Source organism: Homo sapiens, chromosome 12, assembly GCF_000001405.40.
Source record: "Homo sapiens chromosome 12, GRCh38.p14 Primary Assembly".
NCBI classification, from domain to species: Eukaryota; Metazoa; Chordata; class Mammalia; order Primates; family Hominidae; genus Homo; species Homo sapiens.
Window position 1 is genome coordinate 10,575,743 of NC_000012.12, and position 12,290 is coordinate 10,588,032.

Here is a 12,290-nt window from a genome sequence, read left to right on the forward strand (position 1 = left end):
GATATTTGACACTTAAGCACATACCACCCAGATCCTTATTTCCTCTGATGGTTTTATCATAATAATTGCTCTGAGAGATTTTTCCAGTGAAGTCTTAGAGTTACCACATCTCTGCTTATGCTTTCCACCACTGAAAGATAGCTTTCTCCAGATTCTTCTTCTTTTTTTAAATGCTCACTTCTCTTCTAAGATATCTGGACCGAATGGGTTTCATTTTGTATTGCTTTCACGACAAAAGCCAAACTACTAAGTGAGGAAATAAACTGTTCAAAGTTTATACAAATTGTGAACGAGTGTATGAAAAAAATATTTTTCAGTGGAATTCAAATGACAAACATTTACTTAATGTAATCCAAAGTGACATAATAAAAGACAAAGAGTTTCATACAGCAGGAGAATGGGCAGTTAATTCTGGCTGGGATGAAACGTGAGAAACTAATTGTACAAGCATATGCCACTTCAGCTGATTCTTGATAGAAAAATTTTAGCTGTAGAAATGGGCGGGATAAAGCATATCAGGTCAAATGAAACACAGCTGGAACACATAATAGGTGAAACAAGCAGCATCTAGCATAGAGAATTCGAAGCACACAACAATCACTTCTAAAACAGAATTATCTTAGGGAATTTCGGTAAAAAAACTGGATTCTACTTTGAGATTTTGACAAAGATAGGCAGATAAAATCAAAGAAAAAAAAAAACGGAAAACAACCCTATTGCACATTATTGATTCCCAATATTCTTCTCTTTGCATCATGAGTCAGAATCTACCATTAAGGATAAACTCAGTTTCAGGCTCAACCTTTTTTCTTTTATTCAGTTTAATTTGTATCTGCATTTGGTCTTATGACTGCTGTAACAAACTGAAAGACCTCTTTTATGTAACTGCCATAATAACTTGCATGAACGCATGGCACCTGCCATTTTCAAATGCCTATGATAACATACATATCTGCCTTTGTACCTAGGAAAATATCCATTATTCTCTGTCTAGAAAGATAATGGAAGATATCATAAAAAAGTCTCAGATGGATTTGAATATTCCCAACATCATGGCAGAAAAATATGATGTGAAATTTAATATGATTTTAATGTCCAAATAAGGAAAATCCCAATTTGTATACATTAGGTAAATTATAAGAAATTTTATTTTCCAAGTAGAAGAAAGATTATGGCAAAAATTCTAAACAAATTAACAGAATGTAAAAGACAGGCCACAGATTGGGAGACAATATTTGCAAAACAAACCATATTTTTAATCGGCAAAAGATTACCTATTGAGGAATATTTTGGTTTTCTCTGGATTTTTTTCTCTTATAAAGCTAGTATAAACAGGTATAGAGAGACACCTCACAGATAGCAAATAAGCATATGAAAAGACATTAAACATCATATACCATTGCAAATTAAAAGAATGAGATACCACTACAAACCCATTAGCATGGTAAAAACTTAAAATACTGACAACCCAAATGCTGGAAAGGATGTAGAGCAACAGCTCCATTCTCATTCGTGACTGGTGGGAATGCAAAATAGTACAACCTCTGAAAGATAGTTTGGCAGGTGCTAAAAGAAAAATAAACATACAATATGAGCCAGCAATCATACTCTTCGGTATTTATTTAAATGAGGTGATAGTTTAAATCCACAAAAAACCTGCACATGAATGTTTATAGAAGCTTTATTCATAATTGCCAAAACTTGGAAGCAACCAACAGTCCTTCTCCAGGTGTGATCACCTGTCGTGGTACTTCCTGACAATGAAATATTATTCAGTAAAAAAACAAATGAGGTATCAAGTTATAGAGTCATGGAGGAAACTTAAATGCATGCTGCTAAGTAAAATAAGCCAATCTGAAAATTCTGTATAAGATATGATTCCAACTATATGACATTCTGTAAAAGGCAAAACTATGGAGATGGTTAAAAAAAAAAATCAGTGTTTGCCAGGGCCTCAGAGAGAGGAAGGAGGAGAGGAATAGATGAAGCATAGGAGATTTTTAGGGCAATGAACCTATTCTTTACAGCACTGTAATGGTAGATATATGTCATGCATTTGTCAAAACCCATAGAATGTAAAATACAAAGAGTGAAACTAATATAAACCATGAACTTTACTTAGTAATAACATATCAATATTAGCTCATCAATTATAACAAATACACCACACTAATGCTAGATATTAATAGGAGAAACTGGGAGGAGGGTGAGTGAGTATATGGAAACTCTCTGTACTTTCCACTCAATTTTTCTGTAAAACTAAAACTGCTCAAAATTGTAATCTATTTAAAAAAAAATTCTAATGACATCACTATATACATATCAGGAGGGATAAAATTTAAAAATAACGACAACACCAAATGATGGCCAGTATGCAAAGAAAATGAATCACTCATGGGTATACAAAATGTTACAGCCTCTTTGGAAAACAGTTTGGAAGTGTTTTATAAATCTAAACACGAACTACCATAGGACTCAGTAATTGCATTCTTGGGCATTTATCTCAGATAAATTAAACATGTTATGTTCACACAAAAATGTCTATTCCTGTTCATAGCAGCTTTATTTGCAATAGCAAAAAAACAAAACAAAACAAAAAACCCTGAAAACAACAAAATATTCCTCAATAGGTAAATGTAATCAAACTGTGATACATCCATACCTACTTGGCAATAAAAGGAACAAATTATTGATACCTACAAAAACTTGTATAGATTTTCAGGAAATTACGTTGAGGTCACAGACCGTATGATTTCATTTACTTAACAGTCTTGAAATGATAAAATTATAGAAACAGAGAAGGAGTCAGGAACAAGGAATGGAGAAAAGGAAGCAGGTGTGGCTCTAAAAGGGCAATAATAGGGAGCCTTGTGATAGAATCTCTCTGCATTTGTATCAATGTCAATAACTAAGTTGTGATATTATACCATGATTTTACAAGATGTTACCATTAGAGGTGCTTTGGTTTGAATGCTCCTTCCAAAACTCAGTGTTGGAATTTAATAGCCACTGTGACATTATTGGGAGGTAAGACCTTGAAGAGTTGATTAAAGTCATGAGGACCTCAATCTTAAGAATAGATTAATTCCCTCATGAGAGTGAGATCGTTATCTCAGGAGTGGTTCTGTTGTAAAAAAAGCTCTCTCTCTCTCTCTCTCTCTCTCTCTCTCTCGCTGTCTCTCCATGTAATGCCTTCACCATGGGATGACCCTTGCCAGATGCCAGTGCCATGCTCTTGGACTTCCTTGGTTTATAGATGCATAACTACAATATTTTCCTCTGTCTTCACCCGGCATTCCCCTCTGTGTCTCTGTGTCTTTTCCTATCTCTTAAAAGAACATCCATCATTAGATTAAGGACCCCTTAAGGCCCACCATAATCTAGCATGATCTCATGATCTTTACCTTAATTACATATGCAAATACCCTTTTCCCAAATAAGGTCATAAATAAGGTCATGTTCACATTCTTCAGGGTGAGAACTGGAGCCTACCTTTTGGGGGACACAGTTTAACATGCTATACTACTGAATTAGAAACTCTGGAAGTGAGACTCATCAGGCTGTGTTTTCCAGGTGAATCCGATCTTGATTCATGATAAATGTTTGAGGATATGGATAAGCTAATTACCCTGATTCCTGATTTGATCATTACACAGTGTATACATGTATTGAAACATCACACTGTACCCCATAAATATGTACAATTATTATGTGTCAATAAAAAATAAAATAAAACAAAAAAAAACCTATACAATAGTGTGAAATGCTGTTGGGATGCTGGCCTGTGGCCAAAGCTGGTTCTGGTAGTGTAACCAGGCAAGCCAGTGAAGAGTTCAAGGGTATGTACTGGTCAATATCAGTGGATCTTACTACTAGTTTCCAGTTTCTCAAAATTAGAAACTCTGGAAGTGAGACTCATCAGGCTGTGTTTTCCAGGTGAATCTGATGCTTGGAATAATAGAATGCTAATGCATGGTGGGCTTAATACCTAGGTCATGGGTAGATAGGTGCAGTAAACCACCATGGCACATGTTTACCTATGTAACAAACCTGCACATCCTGCACATGAATCCCAGAACTTAGAAAATAAAAATAATAGAATGTCAGGACTAAATCCTCATCTATCAATAATAACCCTGAATGTAAATGTATTAAGTTCTCCAATTAAAAGATATAGAGTGCTAAATTGATTTTTTAAAGAATGACCTAACTTTATGCTTCCTGCAAGAGAAGTACTTCACCTGTAAGAGAAGCACTTCACCTGTAAGGACACAATAGACTGGAAGTAAAAGGATGAAAATGATATCCCAAGTGGAGACCAAATGAAGACAGGAGCAGCTGTATTTGTATCAGTTAACTAGGCTATAATTGAAAAACTATAAAAAGAGACAAAAATGGTCATTATGTAATTATAAAGAGGTCAATTCAGCAAGAGGATATAACAATTATATAAATACAGCTGGCCCTCTGCATTCACGAGTTCTACATCCACAGACTCAACCAACTACAGAACGAAAATATTTTTAAAAAAATATCCAATCTGTACTGAATATATATAGTTTTTATTATTGTCATTATTCCCTAAACAATAAAGTATACCAAATATTTTACATTGTATTATGTTTATAAGTAATCTAGAGATGATTTAATGCATACAGAAGGATGTACATAAGTTTATACAAATTCTATGCCATTTTATATCAGGTACTTGAGCATCAATGAATTTTGGTAGATGCAAGTAAGAGGTGAAGCCAGCTGGACTTCCTGGGTGGAGTGGGGACTTGGAGAACTTTTCTGTCTGCCTAAAGGTTTGTAAATGCACCAATCAGTGCTCTGTGTCTAGCTAAAGGTTTGTAAACGCACCAATCAGCACTCTGTAAAAACACACCAATCAGTGCTCTGTGTCTACCTAAATAGTTGTAAACACACCAATCAGCACTCTGTAAAAACGCATCAATCAGTGCTCTGTCTGGCTAAAGGTTTGTAAACGCACCAATCGGCACTCTGTAAAAATGCACCAATCAGCTCTCTGTGTCTAGCTAAAGGTTTGTAAATGCACCAATCAGTACTCTGTAAAAATGCACCAATCAGCACTCTGTGTCTAGCTAAAGGTTTGGAAACGCACCAATCAGTACTGTGTAAAAATGCACCAATCAGCTCTCTGTGTCTAGCTAAAGGTTTGTAAATGCACCAATCAGCACTCTGTAAAAATGCACCAATCAGCTCTCTGTGTCTAGCTAAAGGTTTGTAAATGCACCAATCAGCACTCTGTAAAAATGCACCAATCAGCACTCTGTGTCTAGCTAAAGGTTTGTAAACACACCAATCAGCACTCTGTAAAAACGGACCAATCAGCACTCTGTAAAATGGAGCAATCAGTGCTCTGTAAAATGGACCAATTAGCAGGACATGGGCAGGGCCAAATAGGGAATAAAAGCTTGCCATCATAGCCAGCAGCAGCAACCAGCTCAGGTACCCTTCCATGCTGTGGAAGATTTGTTCTTTCGCTCTTCACAATAAATCTTGCTGCTGCTCACTCTTTGGCTCCACATTACCTTTATGAGCTGCGAAGGTCTACGGCTTGACTCCTGAAGTCAGCAAGACCACGAACCCACCGGGAGCAACAAACACTGGATGGGCCACCTTTAAGAGCTATAACACTAACTGCGAAGTTCTGTGGTTTCAATCCTGAAGTCAAGCGAGACCACGAACCCACCGGAAGGAAGAAACTCCAGACACATCTGAACATCTGAAGGAACAAACTCCGGACAGACCATCTTTAAGAACTGTTACACTCACCACGAGGGTCCATGGCTTCATTCTTGAAGTCAGCGAGACCAAGAACCCACTGGAAGGTACCAATTCTGGACACACAAGGATTTCTGGAAACAATTCCCCAGTGATACTGAGAAACAACTATATATATGCACTAAACAGTGGAACACCTAAATATATAAAGCAAATATTATTAGATCCAAAGGGAGAGATAGACTGTAATACAATAATAGTAGCAGACTTCAACATCCCACTTCCTAAAATGGACAGATCATCCACGCAGAAAATCAACCAAAATAAACCCATCAGGTTTAAACTGTACTCTAGATCAAATGGACCTAACAGATATTTACAAAACAGTCCAACCAACAGCTGCAGAATACACATTCTTCTCATTAGCACTTGGAACTTTCTCCAGGATGTATTATATGTTAGAACACAAAACAGGTCTCAACAATTTCTTTTAAATATCAAAATCATATCAAGTGTCTTTTCTGACCATAATATAATAAAAGTAGAAATTAGTAACAGGAGGAACTTGAAGAACAAATGGGTCAATAAATATATTTAAAAGGAAATTAAAAATATAGTGGGACAAACAAAAATGGAAACACAATATATCAAAACCTATGGGATACAATAAAAGGAGTTCTAAGAAGGAAATTTATAGCCTACATCAAAAAATTAGATCTCAAATAAACCAAACATTGCACCTCAAGGAATCAGAATAAACAAGAACTAAATCCAAAATTAAAAGGAACGACATATAAAGATAAAAAAAATGTGGCACATACACACCATGGAATACTATGCAGCCATAAAAAAGAATAGTTCGTGTCCTTTGCAGGGGCATGGATGAAGCTGGAAACCATCATTCTCAGCAAACTAACACAGGAACAGAAAACCAAATATTCCATGTTCTCACTCATAAGTGGGAGCTGAACAATGAGAATACATGGACCTAGGGAGGGGAACATCACACACTGGGGCCTGTTGCGGGGTAGAGGGCAAGGGGAGGGAGAGCTTTAGGACAAATACCTAATGCACACAGGGCTTAAAACCTAGATGATGGGCTGATGGGTGCAGGAAAGCACCATGGCACATGTATACCTATGTAACAAACCTGCATGTTCTGCACATGTATCCCAGAACTTAATACTTTTTTTAAAAAAAGAAACATAAACATTAAAGCAGAAATGAAAAAATAGAGACTAAAAAATACAGAAGATCAACAAAACAAAGTGTTAGTTTTCTGAAAAGATAAAATGAACAAACCTTTTGCTAGACTAAGAAAACAGAGAAGATCGAAATGAATAAAATCAAAGATGAAAATGAAACATTACCACTGCGTATTTTTTAATCCATTTTTGACGCTTCAACCTTTCCTGTTTCATGCTGAGATGAGATCATCACCACATCCTACTCTAGTCAAATAAGAAAATCTAATCTTGAGTTACAAATTTATTAAAATTCTTTAATGATAGAATTTCTTTTCTATGGACACTGAAAAACTCTTCTCTACTGCTATATACCAAATATTTATGTCCCCCAAAAATTCATTTGTTGAAACCTTATCCCCAGTGTGATGCTATTTGGAGATAGAGACTTTGGGAGGTGATTAGGTCATGGGGCTCGTGCCCTCATGAATGGGATTAGTGTCCTTATAAAAGAGATTCTAGAGAGCTCCCTTGCCTCTTCCTCCACTAGAGAACACAGCAAAGATGGGCATATGTGAAGCACAAAGCAGGCCCTCACCAGGTACTGAATTTGTTAGCACTTTGATCTTGGACTTCCCAGCCTCCAGAATTGTAAGAAATAAATTTCTGTTGTTCATAAGCTACCCAGTTTATGGTATTTTGTTATAGCATCCCAAACAGACTAAAACAACTATGTACCAAGAAACTGATATTTTAGTTCCCAGGACTATGCCATGGGTATAATTCATTCATTCATCAAATATTTATTTAGTGACTACTGAGGAAAAGACCCTTTAATGCACTGTGGATACAACATATAAAAAACAAAGATCAATTTTAAGGTCTAGTAGAACACATAGATTAGTGGATGAGACAGAACAAAACTTTAAAATACGTGAAGCAAAAAAAAAAAAAAAATAACAGATAAGTAGACAAGTAAAAATAATATTTAAACATTTAAAAACCATTCTTTCAATAATTGATAATTAGACCAAAAAATCATTAGGACAATAGAAGATCTGAACAAAGCTACAATCACCTTCACCCAATTGACATTTATAGAACACTCCATTCCAATAGAGCAAAACGCACATTGTTTTCAAGTATATATGGAACATTTATCATGATGGGACCATATACTAGGACATATAACAAGTATTACATATTTTAAAGTACTAAAATAATATAGTATATTTTCTGGACACACAGAAATTAAATTAGAAATCAGTAACAAAATTGTATCTGGAAAATCCTGAAATATTTGGAAATTAAGCAACTTTTTTTTTTTTTTTTTTTTGAGACAGAGTCTTGCTCTGTTGTCCAGCTATTTTTTTGTATTTTAGTAGAGACGGGGTTTCACCATGTTGGCCAGGCTGGTCTCCAACTCCTGGCCTCAAGTGTTCCACCAACCCTGGCCTCCCAAAGTGCTGGGATTACAGGTGTGAGCCACTGCACCCCGCCTAAACAACATACTTTTAAGACATGAGCCAAAAACAATTACCTAACAAAATTTGTGGTATGCAGGAAAATAGCACTTGAAGGGAAATTTATAGCTTCAAATAGTTATATGTGAAAAGAGGCTTTCACTTATGAAGTCAAGATAATAAAAGCAGTTAAACTCAAAATAAGTAGAAAAGGTTAATAAAATGGATATAAATCTCTAGCTAGACTGATCAAGGAAGACAAATAAATACAACAATATCAGAAAAGAAAGAATATAACTACAGGTCTTGCAGACAGTAAATACATAGATAATAAAGGAGTATTATTGTTATGGGTTGAACTATGTCCTCCAAAAATGTATGTTTAAATCATAACCCCCATACTTGTGAACGTGACCTTATTTGGTAACAGGGTTGTTTTGCAGATGTAATCATGTTAACATGAGATCATTAGGGTGGGCCCTAATCCAATATGACTAGTGTCCTTATTAAAAGAGAAAACCACATGTGAAGGCAGAGATATGCAGGGAGAAATTCATGTGATGACAGAGTCAGAAATTGAGGAAGAAGCTGAAAGTGCAGTAACACCAGGTACTGACAGCCACCACTGGATGCTAGGAAGAGGCAAGGAAAACTCCATCCAGAGCCTCAGAAAGAGAGTGGTCCTGTTAACACCTTAATTTTGGACTCCTGGCCTCCAGAACAGTGAGAGAATAAATCTCTGTTGTTTTAAGCCACCAAATTTCTGGTACCTTGTTACAGTAGCCCTAGGAAACTAATATGACTATGAAGAACAATATGCCAATAAATTTGACAATGTAGACAAATGAAACAAGTTTCTTAAAAGACAAAGATTAACAAAATTGACAGAAGAGACAGAACGTCTAAATGGCCCTGTCTGTTAAAGAAATAGTATTCCTAATTAAATACATTCTCCCAGAGAAAAGCTCAGGCCTAGATTATTTCACTGGTAAATTAGATCAAACATATAAGGAAAGAAAAATACAAATTCTGAAAAAAAAAACTTTCAAAAATAGAAGCATATTAAAAAATATCCCAAATGAATATATAAGACCAGTGTCTTCCCTATACTGTAAACATTAAAAATTTTTAAAAAATAGACCAATATCTGGGGCCGGGCGCAGTGGCTCACGCCTGTAATCCCAGCATTTTGGGAGGCCGAGGCGGGCAGATCACCTGAGGTCGGGAGTTCGAGACCAGCCTGACCAACATGGAGAAACCTTGTCTCTACGAAAAATACAAAAAACTTAGCTGGGCATGGTGGCACATGCCTGTAATCCCAGCTACTCGGGAGGCTGGGCAGGAGAATTGCTTGAACCCAGGAGGTGGAGGTTGTGGTGAGCCAAGATTGCGCCATTGCACTCCAGCCTGGGCAACAAGAGTGAAACTAGGTCTCAAAAAAAAAAAAAAAATTGACCAATATCTTTTATGAATATAAACACAAAAGTCCTTTAAAAATTACCCAATTAAGTTCAGCAACATATAAGGAATATAATATACTGCAACCACATGAGATTTATCTAAGAAGTGCAAGTTTTGTTTAACATGCAGAAATCAATCAATGCAATTCACCATATTAAGTGACAAAATGAGAAAGGCTATGTAATTATCTCGATATAGAAAAAATGTATAAAAAATCAACTCCCATTCATGATAAAACTGTTAATATATTAAGAATAGAAGAAAACTGCCTCAAAATGATCTAGAGAATCTGTGAAAAACCAACAGCTGACCTCACACATCACAGTGAAAAACTAAATGCTTTTCTCTGTAAGACTGGGAACAAGGAACGAATGCCTACTAGAATCAGTTCTCTTTAACATGGTCCTGGAGGTCCTAGCCAGTACAATGAAACAAGAGAAAGAAAAGAACGAAAGGAAAAGTAAAACTTTCCATATTCTTATAGGACATGATTGTGAACATAGAAAGAAAACTCTTAAGGAATCTACAAAAAAAAATTGCTAGAAATAAGAAGTACACTTAGCAAAGTGATAAGATATGAGGTTAATTTACAAACTCAATTTTATTTCTATAAACTAACAACAAATACTTTGAAAAATATTTTAAATTCCATTTAAAATATGATCAAAAAATAAATTTTACAAAATATGTGTAATATATTCTAGCCAGGTGCGGTGGCTAACACCTGTAATCCCAGCACTTTGGGAGGCCAAGGCAAGTGGATCACAGGAGGTCAGGAGTTCGAGACCACCCTGGCCAACATGGTGAAACTCCATCTCTACTAAAAATACAAAAAAAAATTTAGCTGGGCATGGTGGTGTGTGCCTGTAGTCCCAACTACTCGGGAGGCTGAGGCAGGAGAATCACTTGAACCTGAGAGGTGGAGGTTGCAGTGAGACGAGATGGTGCCACTCTACTCCAGCCTGGGTGACAAAGTAAGACTCCATCTCAAAAAGACAAAAAATAACTGGGTAATATATTCCAAAAAAGTACCACAATGCTCAGAGAAATTAAAGAAATGAGAACTAAATGAGAGATAAATCATGTTCATTAATTCTAGCACTCAATATTATTAAGACGTCAATTCTCTCAGATTAATCTATAGAGTCAACGCAATCCCGGCCAAAATCCCATTAGGCATTTTTGAAGAAATTTTGAGAAAATGGAAGAACCTGGAATAGCCAGTATACTTTTAAAAGAGAATGGATTTGGAGAATTGGAACATTTGATTTCAAGGGCTACTATGAAGCTATAGTCATTGAGACATTATGGTACTATTACAAGAATAGGCATACAGAATGCTGAGACTGAATAGAGAATCCAGAAATTGACCCACACAGGTAGGTCAATTAATTTTCTACAAAGGCACCAAAGTAGTTCAATGAAGAAAAGGAAAGTCTTTTTAACAGCTTGTGCAAAAACACCTGGATATCCATATGGAATAATAATGAACCTCAACTTTTTCTCACTTATATAGGAAAATTAACTTGAAATGGATAGAAGCTAAAGATAAAACTATCAAGCTTCTAGAAGCAATTATAGGCAAAGATTTCTTAGCTCTGTGCTCTTAATAAAGGCAAAGATTTCTTAGCTAGAAATTAAGAAGCATGAATAAGGAAAAAATGATGTTAGGCTTCATTAAATTTTTATGTATTTATTTTTCCATAGGTTATTGGGGAACAGGTGGTGTTTGGTTACATGAGTAAGTTCTTTAGTGATGATTTGTGAGGTTTTGGTGCAACCATCTCCTGAGCTAAAATTTTAACACTTCTGCTTCTTGAAAGACACCATTAAGAAAATGAAAAGGCAAGACATAGCCTGGGAGAAAATATTCACATTATCTACATCTAACAAAGGATTTGTATCCAAATTATATAAGGAACTCTTACAACTGTATTATCAGAAGACAGATGAACCCAAATTTTTTAAGTGGGCATATGAATGTTTTACAAATATACATATGGCCAATAAACCCATAAAAAGATGCTCAGTATCATTAGTCTTCAAGGAAATGCAAATTAAAAATGACAATGAGATACCACTAGACAGCTACTACAATGGCTACAATTAAGAAGACACAATATCAAGTGTTGAAAATGATGAGGAGCAAATGTAATCTTCATATGTTGCAACTGAGAGAGTAAAATGATGCAACCACATTGGAAAATAGTTTCGAAGTTTAGAAGTTTTTTTATAAAAGTAGGCCAGGTAAGGTGTCTTATGCCTGTAATGACAACACTTTGGGAGGCCAAGGTTAGAGTATTGCTTGAGGCCAGGAGTTTGAGACCAGCCTGGGCAACATAGAGAAACCCCATTTATAAATAAATAAATAAATAAAAGTAAACATACACTTACCAGAGGGCCCAGCAATCAGACTCCCAGGTATTTACTAAAA

General features: G+C 35.7%; 1 annotated feature.

Moving 5' to 3' along the window:
• Positions 5,035-6,234: an enhancer, noted in NCBI's record as "BRD4-independent group 4 enhancer chr12:10733376-10734575 (GRCh37/hg19 assembly coordinates)". NCBI's record gives its function as "activates an origin of replication core promoter dependent on BRD2, P300/CBP, MED14 and CDK7 cofactors, and independent of BRD4, by STARR-seq in HCT116 cells {active_cell/tissue: HCT116}" and the evidence as "EXISTENCE:reporter gene assay evidence [ECO:0000049][PMID:35650434]".